Source organism: Homo sapiens, chromosome 7, assembly GCF_000001405.40.
Source record: "Homo sapiens chromosome 7, GRCh38.p14 Primary Assembly".
NCBI lineage: Eukaryota > Metazoa > Chordata > Mammalia > Primates > Hominidae > Homo > Homo sapiens.
Window position 1 is genome coordinate 121,260,627 of NC_000007.14, and position 27,268 is coordinate 121,287,894.

General features: G+C 38.4%; 1 protein-coding gene and 1 long non-coding RNA gene across 6 annotated transcripts in view; one reads left to right on the forward strand and one right to left on the reverse strand.

Annotated features, from left to right (window-relative positions):
• Nucleotides 1–6,123, reverse strand: part of LOC124901735 (uncharacterized) — a 122,886-nt gene extending 116,763 nt beyond the window's left edge. Inside the window, exons 1-2 of one of the 2 annotated variants that reach the window (XR_007060493.1) lie at nucleotides 6,035–6,123; nucleotides 4,903–5,216 (exon numbers count right to left, since the gene is read on the reverse strand). This is a non-coding gene — a long non-coding RNA (uncharacterized LOC124901735). Of the gene's footprint in view, nucleotides 1–4,902; nucleotides 5,217–6,034 lie in introns of those variants that run through there. The other variant, XR_007060494.1, reaches the window with a different exon arrangement.
• Nucleotides 1–27,268, forward strand: part of CPED1 (cadherin like and PC-esterase domain containing 1) — a 308,732-nt gene that overhangs the window by 271,916 nt on the left and 9,548 nt on the right. For 2 of the 4 annotated variants that reach the window (NM_024913.5, XM_024446941.2), the window contains 4 exons: nucleotides 5,601–5,821; nucleotides 6,081–6,182; nucleotides 6,589–6,676; nucleotides 10,658–10,804. In NM_024913.5, coding sequence (NP_079189.4) covers nucleotides 5,601–5,821; nucleotides 6,081–6,182; nucleotides 6,589–6,676; nucleotides 10,658–10,804 — 558 coding nt within the window. Of the gene's footprint in view, nucleotides 1–1,005; nucleotides 1,293–5,600; nucleotides 5,822–6,080; nucleotides 6,183–6,588; nucleotides 6,677–10,657; nucleotides 10,805–27,268 lie in introns of those variants that run through there. The other 2 variants (XM_047420856.1, NM_001105533.1) reach the window with 1 other exon arrangement.

Consider the following 27,268-nt stretch of genomic DNA (forward strand, 5'->3'; position numbering starts at 1 on the left):
CTCCTTACCTCACTTTTATTTCCCTTATCTATAGCAATGTGAAAGCTCTCCAGTAAACAGGCATTACCTGGATTCATGGACAATTAGCTCTTACTGCACTCCTATATAACTTCCCCTTTGGGAAGGTTCTAGTGGGTTCCTGTTAACTAGGCTCAGTCTTGTGTTGAAATCTACGTGCACTTTATTGGATCCAGAGAAAAGCTACCACTTCTGTAAATATTGACGATAAAACTGATGTGATGCAGGAGGAAAGAAAGGAAAAAGGAAAATGATTTTAATTTTTTTTCTTTTTCTTTTCTTATCTATTAATACTACATGTATCCAATTCTCTTCCTGCCGCAACAGATCAGAAGACTCTGAGAAGCTAACGAGTTATACTACCTTTGTATTGATTCAACCTAGATAGCCACCAAATCTCCTTTTATTTCCAACTTGATTCTTTAACTATGTCCTGGTTACTTTTGGTGATGCTGGAGTAAAGAGGTTATGGATTAAAATATTTAAAAGTCTAAGTATTATCATTGTTAGTTCCCTTCATGAAGAAACAAAATGAGATAAAAATCATTTCATTGTACATTTAAATTAAAAGTTCCCAAAGTCTTGCTTGTATTTTTACCAATAAATATTTCTTGATATTATTCATCTCAGAAAACCAGCTTCTCAAAATAGAAGACCTTTCAGGCATCACACAAAGTAAAATGTAGCCTTTCACATACTTCCCACTTCTGCTAGTTCATAGGTGGAAAAATCTGAACAGAGGGTTTAGTTTTTCCCCAGGAAGACTTAGCATGTAAGAGAATGTAGTAGAGAATAACTAAGCAGTCATCAAAGTCAGTTTCTCTTCTCCATAGCACACAACTTGACTATATTTCTCAGTGTCTCCTGACATTAGGTATTTGGCCATGAGACTGAGTTCTAACCAGTGGAATATGATCAGGAATGATGTGACCAGCTTCCAGCGCTGGCCCATAGAAAACCTGACAGCTTCTTTTTTCCTTCCTTCAGTTGGGTGTCGATGTCCAGAGAGTTCCTAGAAGCCGTAATTGAAGACACAATCCAGTCATCCTGGGACCCTAAATGACCTCCCTGCCCCACCCCTGCACATAAACCTGACTTGAATCACCTGGACTATTTTTCTGAGAGAGTAATAAACTTTAATTGGGTTTGACCTATTCCAAGTTTTTTGGGCTATCTGTTACAGTGCTTAGCTTATCTCACCTAATACAGGGACTATGCAACCAAGAAACTGGAAATAAAAACAAAGATAATTAAACCATTTTATAATAAGCCTATTGATATAGTTTGGATGTTTGTTTCCTCCAAGTCTCATGTTGAAATGTGATCCCCAATGTTGGAAGTGGGACCTATTGGAAGTTGTTTGGGTCATGGGGATGGATCCTTCATGAATAGCTTGGTGCCTTCCCCACAGTAATTACTCACAGTAATTAATGAGTTCTTGCTTGTTAGTTCACATGAAAGCTGGTCATTTAAAAGAGCCTGGCATGTCTCCTGCTCCCTCTCTTGCCCTGTGACGTGCCTCCTCCCTCTTCACCTTCCTCCATGAGTAAAGGCTTCCTGAGACCTCACCAGGACTCGAGCAGATGCTGGTGCCATGCTTGTATAGCCTGCAGAACTGTGAGCCAAATAAATCTTTTATCTTCATAAATTACCCAGGCTCAGGCATTCTTTTATAGTGATGCAAGACAGACTAATGTAACAATTTTAAAACAAGCTTCAAGCTTTTGTAGAGCCTAGGAATAGTACCTCCTTTTAAGTCCTACAGTTCATGATGCTATGAAAAGGAATGGGAAAAATACCAATTCCTGTATACTCTGTGGTAGCTCACACTGCATGCAGAGTCATGGGAGTAGAATAGATGCAAAACTCTTCTAAACATGTCTTTGTGTTTAAAACCACATCACATTTTTTCTCTTTGCTTATCCAAAAGAGAAAAAATAACCATGCATGCTAATGTAAGGCAGTAATTTTCACAGGGGAGAGAAAGAATTATTTATAAATTGTATGCCTAGTCATAAATATTTGTTATGATAATCTAGGCTTTTTAAAACAGAAGTTCTTCCTCAAAACAAATAATCTGCAAATTTCCTTTTTAAAAATCTACCAAACTGAATGGCCTAAAATATATAGAGGTTGAATAGGAATCATATAACTGAAACAAATCACTCTTTAATTCCTGACAGTATTTTCAAATTGTGTGATATGCACATTAAAAAGCTGACATTTTGAAGTTAGACATCTTTTAGTTAGAAATATCAATCTCTTACAAAAATTGCTTTTCCAACAGAACAATCAATCTTAAAATTACAACTGAATTTTCATTATAGTTATACTTTATTATTTCCATCTTTCATGAATGGAAAGGCACTAGAATAACATAATCCTCTAGAAATCCCAGAGCTATGTCTGCTAGATTCAACTTTGTTATTGAGATATTTGCGATTTAGAAGAGCTTGTTGTGCAAATGACAGTGGTGATGCTTCCTTCTCCCATTCAGGTAGCTCTTGCTAGTCACTAATCAGCAATGGGGCCACCTGGGACCCATTCTGAGAGCATTGGTTTGCTCAGGATGGTGATCTCTCTTCCAGTCCTCCATACAGAACTTTCCAGCCATGCTTCAAGTCCTGCTGGAGATCAGGAGGAGATTTGGTAGGGCAGGAGAGAAATAGCTGTGACTTAGACATTTCCTATTTTTGCTGCCATTTTCTCTAGAGGAGCTAACAAATTTTAAGTGCCTAACAAGGTGGCATGCATTCATTTTGTGCTTACATTTTGTGCATACATACATTTTGTGCCAAGAATATGAAAAGTATTTAAAATCACATTTAAGTCCTCCTACATGGACCTCTGTTTCTCCCCACTGTACACATAATGAAATGAACCCTTGGAGAGGTCACATAATTTGTCTAAAATCATCTAGTTAATAAATAATAGTACCTAAGAATTCTGAAACAGGACTATTGTGCCTCTGACATGCTTTGGTGGGCTGCCTTTTCACATATAAACACACAGAAAATACTGGAAATCTAGGAATTTTGTTGTTGTTTTTCTCAGTAATATATAACTACTTTGATTTTTCTCAACCTTTGTATTGTTCTGCATAGCCCACAATACAGATATCTAGGGAGCTCGCTGGCTGCCTGGGGATACCCTAGGAGGGACTGCACCTTGATATTGAAATGAAAAGAAACTACAAGAAAAACCCACACTGGCAATTTAGTTTAAAAGCTAGATCTCAAAGGTCCTTTACTATCGTTATGGACTGAATTGTATCCCCTCCACCAAATTCATACATTGACATTCTAACCCCCAGTACCTCATAATGTGCCTGTATTTAGGAATAGGGCCTTTGAAGAGCTGATTAAGGTAAAATGTCCTATGTGTGGGGCCTACTTAATCCAATATGACTGGAATCTTTAAAGAAGAGATTAGGACATAGCCACAGAGGAAAGACACAAATAAAAGATAGCCACCTACAAGCCAGAGAGGGCCTTGGAAGGAACCAACCCTACTAGCTACTTGATGTTGGACTTCTAGCCTCCAGAAATATGAGAAAATTAATTTCTGTTGTTGAAGTCACACAGTCTCTGGTACTTCCTTATGGCAGCCCTAGGAAAACAATACTAATGGAGTTGCATAACTGCTGATATCTAAAATTAAGAGCATTCCTAATTATACAGTGTTCTTCTTTAAAAATCAGAAATGTAGACAAGAAAATCAAACATAAATAGTGAAAGGTTGAATGTAGTAAGAAGAAATTCAAGTTATTTCACAAGCTATTTTATTACACTGGAATGTTATTGTTCCAAATGCAACCTGGCTGAGAGGATCTATGACTGAGTCCTTGAAATCTTGTTATTCAGGGTAGCCTAATGATGCTTAGCATAACACTACTTGAGCTGAAGGCAAATTGGAGAAGCTTTCTAGATTTCTTCATGCAGCTACTTGGATACGCTCACCATGGAAAGAGTTTAAACCTTTGCAGATTCTCGCTAAATTTTCTGCAGATGGACAAATACAGAAGTACCTAAGCAATGATGGCAATGCCTGCCATTAAAATCAGAAAAAAACATGTGCATGACTAATAGAAAGAGAAATCTCCAAAGAAAGAAAAAGACCGAAGAATGAATTAAATCTTATCCAAAGACATTAGAAGGGATTGTCTATGACAAAAGTCCTTTTGACTTTCAAGTCACTATTTATTTTAAAAGTGCATGCATGGTACTATAGGGGAAAACTAGAATTAGAAATTGACCCTGACCTCAAATATTTCTTGATAGGCTATGAGAAAAAAGATGCAGACACAAAAAGCCATAATTTTATGAGGCTTCTGTAAAATCTGTAATGGCAGTCAAAATGTAATAAAATCAAAGAGAACAGGAAAATTAATTGTGGCTAGGGGCACTGGATGAGACCTGTTGGTAGAGGCAGCATTCGTGTAGGGTCCGGAGGGTGACAAGTGGGGTTGCAGAGGAAGAACTTTCAAGGCAGACAGACTAACATAAGGAAAAGCAGATGTTGAATGCAAATCATGTTTAGCAGAAAAGTAGAAGTCTAACATGCTTACATAAAGGGAGGCATTAAGAGGATGGGGCCATTCACCTTGCATTTGGAGTTAAAGTACGTGGGTTTGAATCCTGGGTTCTCCATTTAGTAGATTTATGTCCTCCATCTTCCTGACCCTCAAATTCCTCATCTGTGAAAAGGAGATACTGAATCAAACCTCACAATTCTAAAGATTAAAAGTGAGGACTATGTGTGAAATCTCCACCTAACAAAGACTGGTATGCAATAAAAACAGTATATGTGAGAGGAACCTGTAGGATTATGTAAGAAACAAGGAACCAGTAAAGTTTTTGAGCACACAAATGAGATAGCCAGAACTAGACATTTGGAAATTTATTGCAGCAATATTGTGTGTAGAATGAATTAAAAGACAGCCATTGTACAGGAAGGGAGACCCAGTAGGAGAGCATTACACTAGTGCAGGTTTGAGGCAGTGAAAGCCTGAACAGTGCTGCTGGGAATGAGCAGGAGGGGATGTGGGTAAGAGGCTTCATTGGAGAGGAAATGGCACTGGGATAGGCACCCTAGGACATGCACCGCTGTTCAGAAAATTAGATTCTGGTTCTGTGGTTCTTTCGTCAAGTAGACACGACCTCTATTGAGCTACCTCTGTGAATTCTCTGTTTGCACATCTGTAAAATAAAGAGATTGGAAAATCCCTAAGTATTCCTAGAGCACTAAAATGCTTCATGTCTATTTGAATCAATAGAACTTGTTAAGATGCTTAAACGAGAAATAAAGAGCATAAGGGAGATAGAAAAATTGAAGATAACCTGAAACAAGTGGTAAATATGAGTAAGTGGGTCAGTAGGTGATGGCATTACTAAGAATATGGAAGAGATGAAAAGGAACAGGTTTGGGAGAGAATATAATGAATGTTATTTCTAACAATTTGAAGGGCTGTCCTTCAAACAGTTAGGTAGTAGTGTGAATATTCAAAATTTCATTATTTTAAACTATCTCCTGTACCATGTAAACATAAGCTTTTAAACAAATGCTTTCTCTTTAACTTATAGATTCTGTTCATTGGAGATTCAACCAACAGAGGGATCATGTACTATCTTATTGAAAGGCTGAATGAAACGTTGCAGGAATGGCAGAAAGTACATGGCACTAAATTCTATCACAACGTCAATGGTGGGAAGACTTTGATCAGTTATTCCTACTATCCCCAGTTCTGGATAAGCCCTTCATTGAGACCAACATTTGAAAATGCACTTGAACACCTCTTGCAAAGGTACAATGAAACTATAATGAAAGACACAAAACCCACAAAGTACTGATGTTCTGCTAGCAGTCGTCACTGCTCAACTACTCACTGTACATCAAATGTGCTCAAAAGGTTAGATACCAAGTAAGGCAGCAGAAAACAAGTTGGAAAGTACAAGGAGTCTTATGATCAAGATGCCAGATACAGTGAAATGTGAGGCAGTGCAGTTACAATGTTTACCTTCTGTTTTAGGGCAACATGTGTTGTTTTTCTTTCTGAATTTCAGATCACGTCCCCTAGAGAATACTGGCCAGACTGTATTGGTTGTTGGTGGTGTTCAGTGGCTTAATTCCAATCACCTGCAAATTATTCACAAAGTTTTGAAGAGGTAAATGTCTGCAACAATAATTGTCATTAGTATTCTAAGTCAAAAAAGTTACTATGGATGTGACTGAGTTTTATCCAGATTTTATTTAAAGAACAACTTATAATTTATCATTAAGTACTTAAAGTCTAGTTTAAAATAATAAAGTAAAATAGTCTTGTATCCAGTCACAACATGGTTGTTCATTATCCAGATTTACATTTAGTACAGATCAAAATGTGTCTACTGACACCTAAAACTCTATCTTAAAAAAACCGTATTATACATCAAATATATAAAACGAGCATTTAGTCTTTTATGCCAATTATCACATTCTGAAAGAATTCTATGGTATTTGTTTATATAAACAACAAACATCTAGAAATGTAATTAAAGTTACTGACTTTAGAATTATAATTATCTCATTCAGGGAAAATTTACTCAATATCCTAGTGATCATCAAAACTTTGGGAATTGGATTTCATCTGCCAGTGGATGGAGTACATTTCTTAACACAGGTAAGCACATTTCCTCTGGGCTAGGTGAATTTCATGATTCCTATAAGGATCCCTGCTGGAAAAAGACCCGTAAGGCACTATATAATATTGAGCAACCTTCATGAAAGTAAAAAAAAGAGATTGTGCTTTAAGTTCCCTTACCCCACCAATTTTACATACACCTTTAAAGGCTATATTAAAAGGATTTCCTTTTGTCAGGTTCATGCTGAATCCACACAAAAAAATTATCACTATCATGAGTCCTTTGGGAAAGAGTGGTCTTTTTGAAGATGATTTCCAAATGATTGCTTTATTTTAAAAATAGTCTTTGAAGTAGTATCATTGGTTTTTCCTGTAATTGGATATTCATCAATGAAAACAGTAGGGGTCTCTGGCCAGTTCTTATAGAAGATAGTAAATTAGCCTCAGCACTAAATAGAAGTCTCAGAAAAGAAAAGAAAGATAGGATCTGTAGGGACGAGAACCAGCTGCTCTTGCTCAAGTGAAGGGACTTCTGGAGCAGCCAGCATTATTGGGCAATTGCAGAGTAATGACCCTGGTGAGCACTGGGAATTGGGGAGAAAGGAAGCTGTCCATTTAATATGTAAGGAGGTTGAGATTTATATTTTTATGTCTCTGTTGAGTGCTACTACCTTTCCCCAGCACAGAACACAAGACCCCAATTCTTTTCTCAAAAATGTATCTGCCTGGACAGCAGATCTTCTGTGATGCAAAAACAGGAGAAATGGTAGGAAGTGGCCAAGTTACATCCTCTAAATTCAGCATCTTGGAGTTAGCAGGGGTTAAGTTAATTCAAAATGAGTTGAGGCATTTAATATCTGGGAGAGCCAAAGGGTTTAAGGCTACTGGGGATCAGGAGAGGGGACCTTTGATAATGTCTTCCATGGATTGAATCCCTTTAATGTTATTTGAAGTCTACAGGTCGAGATCCACAATTCATTCTTGAGGACTCCAGTAGCTCCACTGTGCCCCTTTGGTTGCAGCTCCTCACAGTAATTGGCATACTTGTGGCCTTTACTTATACTTAGGTTACAGTTCAGAATCAATTCATTTCAGCAAACATTTCTTCAGCACTTACTATGTGCCAGATATTGTGTTAAACATTATGACTGCCACCTGAACTTTGATGGTGCTCATCAATCTTTTCAAACTGAGTGAAGACAGAAGGAGAAAAGAAGAGGAAGGGCAAAGAATAGAAAAAAGGAAAAGGGGGATAATTGCAAGTGAAAGCAGAAAACAAATTCAAACTTCTCATCATGTGCTCATATAGCCATTCAGTGCTGGCTTCCGTCTTTCTCCGTAGACTTATCCCTTGCTACCAGTGCATGTGCACACAAGTGTGTGCACACACACACACACATTCACACTCACAACACCACTGAGCTCAGTCAGGCTGAGCATATTTCAGTTTCTCAAGCACACCATGCTCTCAGTCACCTCCAGACCTTTGAAATAAATCCCTGCTGCTTCTACTTGGAGTTAACTCCTCCACCACTCCCTCCTCTGGGTAACTTCCAGTTACTCTTCAAATGTTAGCTTACATGCTAGTTCCTCAGAGAAAACCTCTTGACACACTAGACTGGGTTGGCTGCTCCTACCATGAGCTCCTGTAACAGTGTCTTATGTCCTTACTCATGTCAGTCATATACTCCTTGGCTGTCTGTCTCCTCTGCTGGATGGTAATTGTGAGAGCACCAAGGGAATTGTGGGTTAAGGGAGTTTATATGGCTTACACTGACAGCCCAAATGCCAAATACAATTCTCAGCACATAGAAGACCCTCAAAAAATACCTGGTATACAAGTAAGTGTAGCAAGCGTAGTATCTAATAGGTAATTCTCCAACCCTTTGTCCTCTCCCTTCCTCCCGCTTCTTGTAGACCCCAGTGTCCATTGTTTCTATCTTTATGCATATTCAATATTCAGCTCCCACTCATAAGTGAGGAGATGCAGTATTTGATTTTCTGTTCCTGCATTATTTAGCTAACGGAAGGCTCCAGGTGCATCCATGTTTCTGCAAAAAACATGATTTTGTTCTTTAGGCTGCATAGTATTCTGTGGTAAATATGTACCATGTTTTCTTTATCTCATCCACTTTTGATGAGTACCTAGGTTGGTTCTATGTCTTTTCTATTGTGAATAGTGCTGTGATGAACATAGAAATGCATGTCTTTTTGGTAGGATGATTTATTTTCTTTTGGATACATATTGAGTAATGGGATTGCTGGGTCAAATGGTAGTTCCATTTTTAGTTCTTTGAGAAGCCTTCAAACTGCTTTCCACAGTGGTTGAATTAATTTATGTTTCCACCAACAGTTTATAAGCATTCCTGTTTTGCATGGCCTCACAAACATCTGTTAATTTTTTACTTTTCAATAATAGCCATTCTGACTGGTGTGAGATGGTATCTCATTGTGGTTTTGATATGCATTTCTCTGATGATTAGTGGCATTGAACATTTTTTCATGTCTGTTGGGTGCTTGTATGTTGTATTAGTCTGCTTTGCATTGCTATAAAGAAATACCAGAGACTAGGTAAATTATAAAGAAAAGGGGTATTTTGGCTCACTGTTCTGCAGACTATACAAGAAGCATGGTACCAGCATCTGCTCTGGTGAGGCTTCAGGAAGCTTACAATCATGACAGAAGGCTAAGGGAGAGCAAGTGTGTCACATGACGAGAGTGACATAATGAGAAAGGGAGAAGGAGAGAGAGGCGGGAGGTGCCAGACTCTTTTAAACAACCAGATCTTGTGTGAACTCATTACTGTGGGGAGGGCACAGAGCCGTTCATGAAAGGTCCACCCCTATGACCCAAACACCTCCCACTAAGCCTCACCTCCAACACTGGGGTTCACATTTCAACATGAGATTTGGAGGGGACAAATATTCAAATCATATATCTTCTTTTGAGAAGTGTCTACCACTTTTTAATGGGTTTGTTTTCTACTTGCTGATTTAAATTACTTATGGATTCTAGATATTTGAACTTTGTCAGATCCATAGTTTGCAAACATTTTCTCCCATTCTGTAGATTGTCTGTTTGCTTTGTTGATAGTTTCTTTTGCTGTGCATAGCTCTTTAGTTTAATTAGGTTCCACTTATCAATTTTTGGTTTTGGTACAATTGTTTTTGAGGTCTTGGTCATAAATTCTTTGCCAAGGCCAGTGTCCAAAATGGTATTTCCTAGTTTTCTCCTAGGATTTTTATAGTTTAAGGTCTTACATTTAAGTCTTTAATCCATCTTGAGTTAATTTTTATATATGGTAAGAGGTAAGAATCCAGTTTCATTATTTTGAATATAGAGAGCCAGTTATCCCAGCATTATTTATTGAGGGTCCTTTTCCCATTGCTTATTTTTGTTGAGTTTGTTGAAATAAGTTGGTTATAGGTGCGGCTTTTTTCTGGGTTCTCTGTTCTCCTTCATTGGTCTATGTGTCTGTTTTTGTACCAAAACCATGCTGTTTTGGTTACTGTAGCCTTATAGTATAGCCTGAAGTCACATAATGTGATGTGTTGGCTTTATTCTTTTTGTTTAAGATGTTTTGGTTATTAGGGCTCTTTTTTGGTTCCATATGAATTTTAGAATAGTTTTTTCTAATTCTGTAAAAAATAACATTTGTAATTTGATAGGAATAGCATTAAATCTGTAGATTGCTTTCGGCAGTAATGTTAATTTTTAAATTGAGAATTTTAGATATTTTATGAGTCTTTGTGGGCAATAAATTTAACCACTTTTTACTGAAGAAGTTCAAAACTGTGTGTCACTGTAGATATTGCTGTTTTATACATAAATGATTACATGTATGTTTCGAGTAAAAAAAATTAGAACACATCTTTATTTAAGAAATGCATGTGAAGTTCCTTATCTTACACTATGACTAATCCCAGTAAAAAAGACATTTACATAATTTCCACCTAACTTATTGAATCATAAAACAATCCTCTGGTAATAAAAATTCTCATTCTTCTGCTTTCCAATCAGAGTGAAGTACAGAACTTATGGAAAGAAAATTTGATTATTCTGGATACTGCAAAAAAACATGGCTATGAAGTAGTTGACACATTCACTATAACAATGGGGCGTTACAAAGAGTTTCTACAGGGGAAGTGTGGATGTCATTTCCATGAGGTATTTATGCTGGCTATCTGAGTTTTATAGCTTTTGATCTTTTAAAATTGTTTGTTGTATCTTTAATTGTATTGTCAGTCTTATTTTGCATGAAACAAAAAACAATGTCAGGTGGAGATTAAATGATATATGTTCATCATCATTCAGCCAAGGCATGTAGTAACCACAACTTTAGCTCTACCAAATGAGATGTTAAAAAATTTATGTTTGTTTAGACACTTCAAAACTAGAACAATTGGTCAATGGAGGCAGGAATATGGGAACCTGGAGAGCACTTATTTTCTCTAATAGACTTCAAGCCTTCCCATCAGAAATTGCATCCAAAAAAAAGGTGGCAAAGGTTTTCAGTAGCAGCAGCTTGCAAAGCACGACTACTTAATGTGCTAAACTAATGAATGACCTTCTTTCATTGCCTTGTCCAATGCATAACAGGAAGACCTGTGTTTTGGTTAGGGTCCCCCCACCCAGAGTGAAAATGATTTTATTTTAACCTATAAATAGGCTAAGCTGATAAGGTGATAGCCTAAAACTATTTTATTCTTTTTTCTCCTGTCCTTTTGAACCTTCTGTGGATTACTTCCTCCCTAACCCTTGAATAAAAATCTTGGTCAGGACCCATAAGTTTAACACCACTTTCAGATAACAAAAGGTCTCCAATCACCTTCAGGTGTAGGAGTATCACATCAATACTAAAATTGTCCCATTCTGAGTCATAACTACATAAGTCATTTCCATCCCCCAGCTTAGGTTTCCTTCAGTCTCAAAAGCCCAAATCAAGGGAGAGAAGGCAGGACACTTATTTGCCATTTCCCCATCTTCCTTCTCTACTTTTATTCTTCTACATTTTTCTGCGTTGGTCAGAGTAGAGACGGGATGCTAAGGACAAGAAGAGTCTTATTTGACTAGTACAAGCATAACCCAGTGATGTGCTCTCTGAGTCTAGCATGCTACTTCTTTTTTTTTTGAGTGATTTTACGAATTGCCTTGGAGAGCCCCCTCCCCACCAGTGGAACTTTATGGCTCCAACTTCCTTGATGGCGGTAATACCTCTCCTCCAAGTAGATTCCTTTTTTGGCTCCTTGGTATCCAACTGTCTATCACTCTGTTGAGGATCACGTTGCTCCTCCAGGCATCCTTTTGAAAAATATTCAAAATAGCACTAGGCTTGCTCTACTTTGAACTACAGAAATATATATATTTGATCTACAGAAATATTAATGCATTGTTGCTCTGTCATTGCTGGAAATACAGTTAGTTCCCAGTGAAGCTTTCTCTCTCACTCTCTCTGCCACCCTAAAGCTGATCTGTAGCCACAGTATATCATACCAGTTCTAATGCTTCCCAAACCCCAAGAGACATGTGCTTGGCTCTGCTGAAGGCTCCTCTCACTTGGCTTAAGGCAAAAATAAAACAACACCCCAATGGGAAGAGGGCCCCAAAACATTGGAAAGCTCACACAGAAATTCCATCCCGTCCTTCCTCTTTGTCTCACAACTCTTTTGGTGAGACAAGAATATGGAAAACTGGATTTTGTCCATACTTTTGAAAGTCTTGTATAGGTTGTCCAGAAATTTCTTGGAATATGATTTTTTTTTGGCTTCTGTTATTTGCTCTAGGAGATTCAGCTGAAACTGAGATGAATAGTGCCTCATTTTATCTTTCTATTAGATATTGATTCACTCTTTCTGGCTTGCCTTCTTTTGTAAACCAGGATGCATTTATTAGTGGGTTGACTCGTGAGGTGACAACTAAAGTTTCCTTCTGATTCTGTTTTTCAGCCCTTAGCTGACTGTCAGAATCCATCTTGGTGGGCCGAGTGTGGTAGCTCACACCTGTAATCTCAGCACTTTGGGAGGCTGAGGCGGGTGGATCACTTGAGGTCAGAAGTTTGAGACCAGCCTGCCAGCATGGTGAAACCCCGTCTCTACTAAAAATACAAAAATTAGCCAGGTGTGGTGGTGTGTGCCTGTAATCCCAGCTACTGGGGAGGTAGAGGCAGGAGAATCACTTGAACCTGGGAAGTAGAGGTTGCAATGAGCTGAGATCACCACCACTGCACTCCAGCCTGGGTGACACAGCAAGACTCCATCTCAAAGAAAAAAAAAAAATCCATCTTGGTCCCAAGAGTTTTACCAATACTAAAAATGTTATTGACACTGCAGTAGTTGCTCTGTATGATTTATGGGTGGATTTACATTATCCTTTAATATGACCAAATGGAACTGCATTTCAGAGAAGTGAAAGCCTGCAGCCACAGTACAGAACATGACATTTTAAATTTTGACCTAGCAGCTTGAAGCTGGATCATGCTGTTGCAGAACAGATTTTAAGCTGTAGGATACTGTGTGTCTACTAATGTCTTCCACAAGAAAATATACAACGTTTAGAGTACTTATCCTATTTGCAAAAGTCAAGACTTAGAAATGCAAGGGCTGTAGCCTGGAAGAGAAAGAAGCAAAGATCTTGCAGCTGAGCCAGCCCAGGATCACAGCTGGCTAAAAAAGCAAGCCAGTGGTTGCCAAACCCACAGAAAACAGGGCTTTTGAAAGACAACATAGAGATTGGTTTTGTTCCTCTTTTAGAAAGAATTTTTATTTGTTTATTTATTTATTTGTACATAATGTGTCTTCAATTCATATTTTTGCAGAAAGGTGTCTACTTTTCTTTTTTTAGCTTTAGTGCTCTGAAAGTCTAAAAAGCAAAATGTCCTCGAATAATTTCAACATGGCTCCAATTAAAAACAGAAGTGCCCTTCCCACATGGTTACATGTATCATACCACAGCATCAACCAGTTCACATTAATAGCCATGGTATTCAGAAACCACAAAAAAGGCTTTTTGAACCATCAGCACTAGAATATTGGCTTATAATTATTACTGATTAAAATTATCATTAACTTGCATAGTAACAATGCTTCAAGCATGTTCAGGTAAAATCATTTAGCTTATTTGACTTTATAGTTTTTGGTGTGTAATTATCACACATAACTCGCTTTTTCTTAACTCTATTTCTGATGTAGGCTGTCTTGATAGCAAGCCATGTAGGTCTCCGCCAAATTATCTTAATTGATTTCAGAGTAGTGTTATCTATTTTGAAGTTTTAATGTTTAAGCTAAAATAAGCTTCTGGGAGCATTTGCTGTTCCAGTCACAACATACAGCTGATATGATCATCTTTCTCAACTGACTCCCTTCATCATAAAGTCGCTAAATTCATTCATTACTTAGGCATAATTATTGCTTAACTCTTGAACAATTTGTACCCCTTGTACCTCAGCAAGTCTCTAGTGCTGACACTGACATTTTATAATCTTTCTAAATCATCACCTAACATCTTAACAGTGATGTAATAGCAATGTTAGCTTATTACAAACAATCCAAAAAATCTAAAACTCTTTATAGAGGACATTTGATAATGAATGCAGCAAGCTAGAAAAAAAGTTGGTGACTGCTCTCATGTCTAAAAAGTTAAAGGGCAAAAATTCTGCTGATAACCTTTTTTTCACCTCTGTGCTCATCTTATGAGCCTGGCAAATAAAGCTTACCATAAAATACTAGCAAGAGTTGAAAAAATTGTGTTAGAACCATAAAAATTCTGGCTTGGGGGACTTTTATCTTCTGATGTTCAACTAAACTATTCCCACAATAGATTCAAGGATACCTGAGAAGGGTTGGTATAATCATTACAGTAAGATATTGATGTTTTTTCTTTGGTTTGTGGTTAGAATTCTATCATAGACATAACAAACTTGCTTCAGTGAGCTCTCACTGCCATAGGTGAGATGAAAGATCTTGAGGTGTTTCTTTCATCCGTCAAGGCACCAAAAGAGAATATGTTGCCACCAAGAATCTGTAAACAATTTCCCAACTGGTGTGCATCAATTTTGACTAACATGTTCCTGCTGATTAGAAAAGCAGGTGTTTCTTTTTATGAGTGGAAATGGATTACGTTTTCCTAGTGTTTACATAGGACAACAAACAGGATCCAGGTAGCTCTTGCCCAAGAGAGGTTTTGGATGGTGCCTTCGGTTATGTGGCAAACACCTACTGTGAACAAGCTAAAACCTGGAAAGAATACAATAATGTTATCAACACAAACCTGGCTGCAGAAGGGACAAATCCACAACCAACTGATATGTTATTATTCATTAGTCTAATCAATTATGCAGACCTTATATAATATCTTCCTTTTTTGGCAAATGTAGCTACAGCTTTTGACTCAGTCAACAAAAACCATCTGGCATCAAACTACCACTAATACCAGCAGGTTTCCTTTGATTCTGGTACTATAGAAAGAAGAAAAGAAGGGAGTTTTGGTTCTTTGTCAGAGATGGTTTTCCACTATTAATTAATTTTAACCCTATAATCTTTATTATATAATCTTAATTAAATAAAAGATTATTTGGCCTAGAAATAAAGTGTTTTACTTTCTCCTTTAAACTTTACAAGTTTACTATCTAACCACAATTTAAAAATTAAAAAGAAAGAAACTTTAAATTCATCCGGTAAAAAAAAAAAAACTGAAATAATGACTTTTAGGGAAAAAAAAGATACAAATATGGTTAACATAGTTAGCTGATATAGAAGAACCCAGAATTTAACTTTCAGCATGGCTATTTTTAATGAATTAGTATGGAAATTTAATTCAATAGATATTTTTGAGTATCTACTCTATGCAAGCATTGTACTACTGCTGTAAAGTGAGTTAGAAGAGCATTTTATAGGACTCCCGTAAGTATCTCAAAATCAGCATATCCTTAGAGGGAGAATTAATATTTCCTTTAAACTTTCCTCCCCTCTGGTATTCCCTAATTTACTCTATCACACTACCATTTATAAACTAGAGCTATCTTCGACTTTTGCTTATCTTTCTCCAGCCCTTTCACGACCCTTAACCAGCCAGTTACCAAATCCTGTTTACAAGCTATATATTTTCCACGTCTTTCTCCTACACTACATTCCAACTGCCTTGACCTTGTTTATTCTTTTACTAAATCATTCAACATTTATTTTGTGGTCCAGTTCTTGAACTAAACAGTAGTAATATAAAAATAAATATGACGTACTCTATGCCCTCAGGACATTGCAATCAGGGTCAGTCCTAAAAACCCATATTATGAAACAATACCTTTGATAGCACATCAGATATATGAATAAGATATTGTGAAACACCAAGAAGAGGCACTCAATCTAAGGATTAAGTGTTTCTTCTTGAATTACCATCCAAGTTAATTGTTGAAGGATGAACAGGACTTAATCAAGGTAATAAGATAATGGTAGAAGGAAGGCCATTGCAATCCCATAGAATAATGTGAACCAAAGTAGCTCTGAAATACCTGATGTTCTCATAATCACAGGCAATCCTGTATATAGTAGAACATAAATCACAAAAGAATATTTGAAAAAAGTAGGTGAGGGCAAGATCATGGTAAGAACTGGATGATCCTGTAGGTGATGGAGACCCACTGAAAGGTTTTCAGGAGAGGAGTGAGATGGTCATGGTTTTGTTTCAAACAGTTAAGACTAATAACAGTGAGCAAGGAAGATTTGAAGAAGAACAAGTTAGAGAAGTTAGGAGATTTTTTTTTTCTAGAAGTCAGGTGAGAGATTGTAAAGTTCCACCCAAACCAGGACAGAGAGTATAAAAGAGAAGTGTAAGTATAAGAGAGAAGTGGACAAAAGCAAGCCTGGTTTTAAAAAATGATATCTATAGATCTTATTTGTGGCATGCAGGAGTGGGAAGAATCAAAGATGACTCCTAACTTGAGTGATGGATTAGGGAGAGAAACTGGCAATTGAGACAAAGAATGACTGAAAAGTCACCTTATTAGGAAAAGATGATGAGTTCAATTTTGAACATGTTGTATTTGAGTTGCCTGTAGGACATCCAGGTGGAGATCTCCAATGGGCAGTTGGATATACAAATATGACACTGGAGGGACTGGTAGGGATGAGAGATGGCACAGGGAGTCATCAGAAAATAGGTTGTAGTTGAAACCATGAAAATAGATCATCCACAGAGCCCAGACTCATTGACATCCTGCGTGAACTGCAGAGTTTTGGTAGAGGTGCAAGTGTATTCTGTGTGGCAGAGAAGATGGCAGGTGGTGACGGCTGCATTGCCTACACGTCATCGACAACCCACCTCTTCTTTCCCATCTTAATCCACTGTGCGATCTCTCAAGGGCTGTAGGCACTTAGCCCTGAATCCTCCTCTGAGACGGCTTTGCCTCCTGCTGTTCCCCCTGAGCGAATTAAATAAGTCTTTGCCCTGTGCCCACTGTATGTGTGAGGTCATGCAGGTTACGTTTTTAACTTCCAAAAAGAAAAGAAAATACGTCATCCAGAGAAAGTGAGTAGAGTGGCTGAGAAAGAAACTCCTGGAAACACCAATATTTAAGCAAAGTCTGGAGAAATAGGAGCATTTGAACTTAGAGCATAAACTAATAGCGGGAAAACTCAAGTAGAAGGTGAAGCCATGGAAAGCCACAGAGTAACCATTTGTGAAAAGGAGAGATGGAGACAGGGTCAGTGTTGTCAAATGTAATAGATAGATCTATTAAGGTGAGGATTCCAAAATAATGTTTTTGGCATGAAGCAGGGGAGTCCTTTCTGATCATCTTAAGAGTGGTTTTGGTAAAATGTCGGGGCAAGAATTAGACTAGAATAGTTGAAGAGGTATAGGAAGTGAGAAAGGGGGCTCATAATAGCTTTCAACAAATAAAAATAAGAAAAGGGTAAAAATATTGGATTTAAAGGAGGAAAGACTTTGGCATGTTTTTAAACAGAGAGGAAATAATCAATACCAAGAGACAGAATAAAAATACAGGACAAAGAAGGACAGTTGGAGAAAGGCCCCTGAGGAGCAGGTTGAGGATTCAGGTAAATAGTGTGTGGGGTGGCAAATGAACAAGGTGGGGAGGAGGGTCTCTCCTTCTCTATCATTTCTTTGCCCTCAGCTATTGCAATATTTTTATCTCAGAGCCTCCAGTGTCAACTACTTGAATCCGTACTTCTTACCCCCCACCAGGAGAATGTTCCTATACTTCACATTCGGTGTTGTCATTTAAAAATCTTTCAATGACCCTGTGCTGAAGATGAGTCACAGATTCCTACACTCCTTTTTTAGAAATGTAGTTTCAAACAGTTCTTTCTGTGTAAAATGATTAGTGCTCATTCAATCATCTGTAAGTGAATTCTATCCTCTGCTACTAGCTGATTAGATTAGAGATCAGTGCCCAGTGAGAATAAATTCACTGGTCATGAGGGAGCCCAGCCTTTTCTGAGATGACTTGATACAAAATCCTGTTTCAAAGGGAGTACCCTATATTGAATGGTTGTAACACCAATTAAATCAAGGTCTCTCTCTTAAGAAGGATAATTAAATGGAGGGTCAACAAACAGTGAAAGTAACTTATGTTGAACTACTATTATGACTCCATAAGGCAGCTATACTACCCAGCCTTTTCAATACTGAAACCTAGAATGTCAGTGTGACTAAAAAAGAGATGCTGACTCATAAACTCCTTCATGTTCTTTGCAATAAACCCCCATGTCAGGGAGTTTATTACTAGCCTTTAAGAACCAAGCTAAGCCAGAGTTTGAACTATTTTGATTACCATTTCCTACATTAAGGTTTAATGTTCTAATTTGGTGAAAACAGGTTTTGTTTTTTGAGAAATACTGAATACACCTCCACCTTATGGGTTCTCAGATAATAATATTAGTATATTAAATAATCCCAAAAGTTCTTACACTAAAGAAGCTGGTTAGCTTAGTGTGACCCAGTTTTTCCCCAGCATTTTTGACCACAGAATGACTTTTCCTTATTTTTTTTATCACAACTATTAACACCCCACTAAACACACTTTGAGAAAATTGGCATAAGGATAAGGTCTAAAAAATCATGCATGAAGTACAGACTAAATGAGGCAGATTGACCACAAGCATTTATCTTCCCTTCCACTTGAAACCCCAAGAAAAATACTTTAAAGACATAAAGCTACTCACTCACTCCCCACCCCCCGCCACAAAGAAAAAACAGAATAACTCATAACAGACAAGAAATCTGAATTCATTTGAATTCATTCTATGAAGTTTGACTTAGCAGGCAAAATAAGGTACAACTGAAAGTGCCGAGAGAAGAGAAATACTAGCTGTGAGTGAGGCATACTTGCTGTTCAGATCCTATGCTGAAAAAGATAAGGCTGAGACACAGGTCAGAAAACAATTGGCTAGAAGTCTATGTGCAAAATTGGTAGACCCCTGAGTTCCTTACCCCAGCCCATACAGTTGGGAATCTATATCATCACATACAATATCTTTTAAAATGGAACTGCAGAAAGTCTGGACTCAGAAACACAAGTATAGTAAAGAATAAATTAATCTAGAGGCTGAAAACAGAAAGATGAAGGTAAAGTTGGCGTGTGAAGGGAGGAGCCCTGAACTTTTCCCTAGACCTCCTAGCATTCCACAGTCAGGCAGAGGGTCCCTCAGACAGGAGGCTGGAGAGCTCTTCTGACATGAAACTGAATGACCCACCGGAAGATCTTCTTTGAAAAGGCCAGAGTGGTGCTGAGCAAATTAATACAGTGAAGTCATCAGTTGGAAATGTTAGTCCCCACACAAATTGTGTAACATTTAGTGCCTTAATCTTAAATAAAATATTTAAGTTCAAGAGCGTTAGATAGAAACAAATACCTGTGTGTTAACGTCCAATAGATTCCAAGACCCAAGATGCACATCTAAATAGAGCAAAAGAGGAATTAGCTTATGCTAAGACTAGTACAGGTCATTCCAATAGTGTAAAAACTCAGCAACATAGATATTCAGCCACTTGGGAAATTGAGTTTAAGACAGGGGAATTTAGTGTCTGGGGAACTGCATGAGACTGTAAGATAGAACCAACAGTTTAATATTAAACTGGTAAACTTCTGGTCTGGAGCTCCTTACAATCAGTCTCCGCACCTCAGAGCAGAATTTGTTCCCAGAGCCAACGCTCAGCGTTGTCCAAGGGCAGGAGTTACAAAGCCTCAGCTGTCAGAGTAAGAAGGGCTGGGGATTAGAGGAAGGGTGGGGGACAGACAATATGCTGACTGCAAATCTGGAAACACCAAAACAAAACAAAACTCATTCCTAAAGAAAGTTTTAGTCTTGCCCCCTAATCCCCAGCATCTTTGACAGATTCAGAAGTTGGATTCCCTTCAATCAAAACACAGTTTATTTCATGTGGCCATAATTAAATATTTGGGGGCAAAGGGATGAAATGAAAGAATTCCCTATTATCTGTCAAAATTGCATGATGTCCTGAAGTGAAATTATGAGTTATAAGGACTAACTTCTAGCTATTGTTTGTCACGTTATTTTTATTCCACTTTTGTGAATTCTTAGGCTACTTTTTCAGCTGGTCATAATTTGGTGACTGGATCTTGGATTGAATGCCATCTGCAGAATGACTACATCCAACAAAAAGTACTTCAACAGTATACATTTGTCTTAAGACTAACACATTTGCCTGGCCAATCTCATGTTTTCCAGCCTCAGAAAGCCATTACCCTGTCTCCTCTTCAGACCCCATCCATGATGAAACATATTTGTAATCAGAGCATCCTCTAATCCAGTATAGGACAATTTTGGAACACTTGCACCATAAAAATTGTTTTCTATTTTATTCTGTGGATCTGGAACCACATCAGAAGTTCTTTGTGGGTTATTCAGGTCAAGATCAATCTTAAGAAAGGTATTTGTTTGTAATCTGCCTGACACCTTTCCAGTTCACCAAGACTTCCCTTTTGTACTGGCTTTTTGGAAATTCAAAGTTATTTTTAGAATCAGCAGTTAATTGATATGGCAATACACACGTTCTGATGATGGTTTATGTGAAATCAATTTTGAGTGTTGAAATTACCTACATTTAATAGTGAAAGTTGCAATGTTAAGTTTGGTTTCATAATTCAAACAATTTTTTGTTCGTTTGGGAAGTCTTATAATTCCCATAGGCCAAATCCAGTCAAGTTGAATTGTGACCATTTGTATGCCTTCTAAAATGTCTCTGTACCCACGTTTTTAATGGTGTAGAGATGTGGAAAGATCTATAATTATAAACTGGCAGATCCCTTACCATATAAGGAAACTATAAAAAAGTAAATGTTATGTCTACAACCCAAAGCACAGAATTTCAATTCTTGCTACACTGAGTCACAGAAAAGTGTGATCATTTAATAGCCTATAAGATCTTATACTTATAAAACTCCATTTAGCTCCAAAATTGTTTTCCTAAATTTCTATAGTCAGTATATTTAAAATATTTGTCTTTGAAACACTGTAATTTTTACTTGAAAGTCTTGAAAGTCTTACATGTAACTTAATCAAATGTGAACATTGCTGTGAGAAAAACCATTTTTCTTATAAGACTTATGGAACAATGCTGATCAAACAGATTGTCATGCAGCATGGAGATAAATTGTCCTTCACTATCTCTTCCTACTTTAAAACGTACTTCAATGTAGCAAATTCACAAAAAGAAAATAAACACAAAAGTAAAGAGGAGTTACTTCAAAGTGGCAAAATAAAAATTGTCCTTTAACACTCATATTTAACATATTACAAACATTTGCCAAATCACACATGTATGTATTATTAACCACATGTAGTAGCTCCTTTCCTCTTAGATATACCTGTCTCTTTTTCAGTGGTCAAGTCATCTGCACCCAAATTTAGAGAAGCATTTGATGTATCAAGCCATTAGAATTTGTTTCTGATTAAGGTAACCATGGTATACAAACATCTGAGGCCTTTTGTCTCTGTGTCAAGGCCTAAATCTTTCACTGATGTTTTCTAATGGCTCATTTTGTTGTTTACTATTATTATTATGCTTCAAAGGTAACCTAACGTGTATTGCAAGCAGCTTTCTTTCAAAGTCACATTCCAGTCGACCCTTTAGTTGGATTTTAATAACCCCAAATGGCTCTCTGATTTTGGAAAGGACCCAAATGGGCACATTTCCACCCATGAGATCAAAGGAAAGGAGCAATTTGCTCCTTACTGTACAGGTATCAAACATCTTTCACCGGAATAACATTTCCAAGCCTTAAAAATGTAGCTAATTCCTTTTTCTCCAGTTTAGAGCCTATAAGAGTAAGTAAAATAAGGTAATATTTTGAATCTCAGGGACTCAGAAACAGCAGTTTGACAGCAATGCTGGACACTGAATTTTACACATACGTTCAAAGGAATAATAGCTGTGTGAACAGATGATCTTGCCCACCATAAATTAGCACTAAGTCTTTTGAATGTACTAAGGAACTATTCATAACATGGAAACAACATGGTGCCTGACCTTGGGGAGCTAGTCTCAGACAATGTCTTTGAAGTCATTTCATTCTTGTTCTTACTTCAAGTATCTTAGTCATGTGTCTTTATATAGTCCCCTTGAGGGTAGGGACCATATCTGAATTACTCCATGTGTTTCCTGACACAGACAACTCTGAAGATTGAAAGATGGATATTACATGGAAAAAAAATCATTAAATTTTAATTCTACAAGATACAGAATCATTTTGTTTCTCTTATACTTTTTCATTACAAAAGGATTCCATGAATTCTTTTTCACTATAACAATTAAAAATAAGTATATACAATAAAAACAAAAACTCCTTTCTTCTACATAGAGACTCAATTAGCCCTTTGGTACATAGTTCTGTTTTAAATCTACATTCCTGATTTTAATCTCACACAATTAAAAGTATTAGGACCACATTTATGGTCACTGGATTTATGTAAGATTGGGGTTTATATAGAACTACCTTATTTCACCATAAACATTTTAGGGAATAGTAGTTTAAACCTCATTTTAATCTGCAATGTGAATTTTCCTATTCTTCTATCTCAGTATTGAATTCTCCTTGTACTCAGCTTTTAATTTATATTTTGCCATCAAGTTCTAGAAAGCTATCTACAAAGGAATTTGCACCCTTAATCTAGACAAGAACACAATAATGTAAGACAAAATATACTTGCCAGTTTAACTAAAATGTATTGAGCATGCAATGCATTCCAGCTCCTGTGCTAAGCTCTATGTTTAGATTTCTAGTCACTAAGAGTAGGGAAGAGAGACATACAGAAACTTTAAATACAATATATGTGACCCTCTTTACCCTGACTCTGTTCCTCATCTGCTCATGTTGGAACTGTAACTCTGTGTAAGTATGATAGGTCCTCCCAAACAGGGGCTCTGGGACAAGCCCACTCCCATGGGCTCAGAGCTGTTCCAGCACACACTGCTACCTCTGATTTCTTGTTGCCTGTCTAAGAGCACACATGCTGCAGCCGCCCCAGGCACTAATCATGGTGACTGTCTCCCATGGTTCTGCCTGATACATGCCCTCATGGTCCCAAATCTGCACAACTGTCTGTGCAGAGCCTTATTCTGTCCCTTTGTGTATTCTCAGTTGGTGGGTTTCCAAAGCCCGGGCTCCAATGAGTTATACTGTTTAGTGAAACACTTTTTTCAGCAGTTACTTATAGTTGCTCACAGTATCATAGAACTCAGTTACTCTCACTGTATTAGTCCGTTCTCATGCTGCTATAAGCACATACCTGAGACTGGGTAATTTATAAAGGAAAGAGGTTTAATTGACACACAGTTCAGCACGGCTGGGGAGGACTCAAGAAACTTACAACTGGCAAAAGGGGAAGGAAACACGTCCTTCTTTACATGGCGGCTGCAAAGAGAAGTACAGAGTGAAGTGGGGGAAAAGTCCCTTATAAAACCATCAGATCTTGTGAGAACTCATTCACTATCATGAGAACATCATGGAGATAACCATTATTAATACCTCCCACGAGGTCCCTCTCATAACACGTGTGGATTATGGGAACTAAAACTCAAGATGAGATTTGGGTGGGGACACAGCCAAACCATATCATTCTGCCCCTGGCTCCTCTCCAAATCTCATGTCCTTCCATTTCAAAACGTAATCATGCCTTTCCAACAGTCCCCCAAAGTCTTAGCTAATTCCAGCATTAACCCAAAAGTCAAAGTCTAAAATCTCATCTGAGACAAGGCAAGTCCCTTCCACCAATGAGCCACCAAAACCAAAAGCAAGTTAGTTACTTCCTAGATAAAATGGGGGTACAGACATTGGGTAAATACACCCATTCCAAAGGGGATAAATTGGCCAAAACAAAGGGGCTAGAGGCCCCATTCAAACCCAAAATCCAGCGGGGCAATCATTAAACCTTAAAGTTACAAAATGATCTCCTTTGACACTAGGTCTCACATCCAAGTCATGCTGATGCAAGAGGTGGTCTCCCCCAGCCTTGGGCAGCTCCCCTGTGGCTTTGCAGGGTACAGCCTCCCTCCCAGCTGCTTTTACAGGATGGCGTTGAGTGTCTGTGGCTTTTCCAGGCACACAGTGCAAGCTGTTGGTGGATCTACCATTCTGGGGTTTGGAGGACAGTGCCCTTCTTCTCACAGCTTCATTCAGCAGTGCCCCAGTGGGGTCACTGTGTGGGGGCTCTGACCCCACATTTCCCTTCTGCACTGTCCTAGCAGAGCTTCTCCATGAAGTTTCCGCCCCTGCAGCAAACTTCTGCCTGGACATCCAGGCGTTTCCATACATCCTCTGAAATCTAGGTGGAGGTTCCCAAACTTAAATTCTAGTCTTCTGTACACCCGCAGGTCCAACACCATTTGGAAGCTGCCAAGGCTTGGGGCTTGAACTCTCTAAAATAATGACCTGAGTTGTGTATTTGCCTCTTTTGGCCACAGCTGGAGCTGAAGCAGCTGGGACACAGGGCAGTATGTCCTGAGGCTGCACAGAGCATGAGGCCTTAGGCCTGGCCCACTAAATCATTTTTCCCTCCTAGTCCTCCAGTCCTGTGATGGGAGGGGCTGCCATGAAGGTCTCTGACATGCCCTGTTGACATTTTCCCCATTGTCTTGGTGATTAACACTTGGCTCCTCATTACTGATGCAAATTTCTGCAGCTGGCTTAAATTTCTCCCCTAAAATGTGTTTTTCTTTTCTGTTGCATCATCAGCTGCAAATTTTTTAAACTTTTAAGCTCTGCTTCCTCTTGAACACTTGCTGGTTAGAAATTTCTTCTGCCAGATACCCTAAATCATGTTTCTCATATTCAAAGTTCCACAGATCTCTAGGGCAGGGGCAAAATGCCACCAGTCTCTTTGCTAAAGTATAACAAGAGCCACCTTTGCTCTAGTTCCCAACAAGTTCCTCATCTCCCTCTGAGACCACCTCAGCCTGGACTTTATTGTCCATGTCACTGTCAGCATTTTGGTCAAAGTCATTCAACAAGTCTCTAGGAAGTTCCAAACTTTCCCATATCTTTGTCTTCTGAGCACTCCAAGTCTCTAGGAAGTTCCAAACATTTTCCTGTCTTCTTCTGAGCCCTCCAAACTGTTCCAACCTCTGCCTGTTAGCCAGTTCCAAGGTCACTTTCACATTTTGGATATCTTTACAGCAGTCCCCACTACTAGGTACCAATATACTGTATTAGTCTGTTCTCACACTGCTGTGAGGACATACCTGAGACTGGGTAATTTATAAAGGAAAGAGATTTAATTGACTCACAGTTCAGCATGGCTGCGGAAGCCTCGGGAAACTTAACAATCATAGTGGAAAAGAAGCAAACACGTCTTTCTTCACATGGTGGCAGCAAGGAGAAGTGCATGGTGAAGCAGGGGAAAGCTCCTCACAAAACCATCATATCTCCTGAGAACTCACTCACTATCATGATAACAGCATGGAGGTAACTACCCCCATGATTCAGTTTCCTCCCACCAGGTCCCTCTAATGACGTGTAGGGATTACAGGAACTACAATTCACGATGAGATTCAGGTGGGGACATGGCCAAATCATATCACTCCTCTTTGTAGAGGTGAGACATTCCAAGTTGCATCTGAAATTAAGTAGAAGACACAGCCTCAAGGTTCTTTCCCCAGGGGTTCCTCAGTGTCATAACTAAACAAGCATGGCAGGAATGCCCTGCCTGTCAGTGCATTACAGAGGCCTATGTATTACTGAATCCCTCAGTCCAAACCTGGGATCCTCCTAGAAGACACACTACTTTTCCACTGGCATTCTTTCTCCTACCCCTGGGAGATTCTGAAGGGTTATAAGATGAATGGCTGACCAAATTTGATTTTTATAAATCTAGTTAATATCTAGGATGATAACAGGATTACAGATGTGCTCAAGAAGTTGGTGGATGGCAGCATTGGAGAGATGTTAGAACAAGTTATCACTGGATGACATGAGTCCCCAAAGAGCAGGATTAAAGGCTGCAGATGGAAAAATGGTGTCCTTGAAGTGGCACTAGATGTTCAGAGAAAACTAACTACACCTGGTGTATTAGTCCATTTTCATACTGCTATAAAGGACTTCCTGAGACTGCGTAATTTATAAAGGAAATAGGTTTAATTGACTCATAGTTCAGCATGGCTGAGGAGGCCTCAGGAAACTTATGAGTGTGGCAGAAGGCAAAGAGGAAGCAGGCACCTTCTTCACAAGGTGGCAGGAAGGAGAAGTGCCAAGTGAAGGAGGAAGAGCCCCTTATGAAATTATTAAATCCCATGAGAACTCACTCACTGTTATGAAAACAGCATGGAGGAAACCACCTCCCCGATTCAATTACCTCTACCTGGTCTCTCCCTTGACACGTGGAGATTATGGAGATTACAATTCAAGATGGGATTTGAGTGGGGACAGAAAACCTAACCATATCACCTGGGATTTAAAGATCATGAACCATGGTAGGACAAGTAGCACCACCATCAGTGCCACCCTTTTATACCCCCAACCTCCTGCCACACAGACACAGACACAGACACACACACACACACTCACACACTCATACACGAGAGGGTTATGGTGTCTTCCTGGAGAAGCAACATTTTAATTTTGGCAATGACGCCAAGGAAACCTTCAGTGAAATGGTGACTCTCTAAGAGACTGTTTACCATGGAAAAGAGGTTTCCAAAGGAACAACTGAGAGGTGTAACAGCCAGGGAAGACATCAGAAATCAAAGAGGAAGCACCAAGTTTGTAACCACTAGCACTCCTTCAGTTCCCTGATGGTAGATTCAAATCATAATGAGTCATGATTGTAGACTCTATTCATAGTGACTAATGAATACCTGGTATTGAAAGTCTCCTCTCATCACTTTTTTTCCTTTCAAATGGTCTTAACTATTTTCCTACATTTATCTTTAAGATGTATTTTAGAATTTCTTTTTCATGTTTTCCCCTGTTTTCCCCCAAATTCTTCTGCGATTACAATTGGAATGGCATTTTAATTAACTCGGGAAGATTTGACATGCTATGTCTGCATTTGTTCATGTGCTTTTTAATGACTCATTAAACTTTTGATATATTTTTCACCTGCATCCTAAATATCATTGTTGAATTTAGTGAAGATGTTTCAGTATTGTAATGGGATCTTT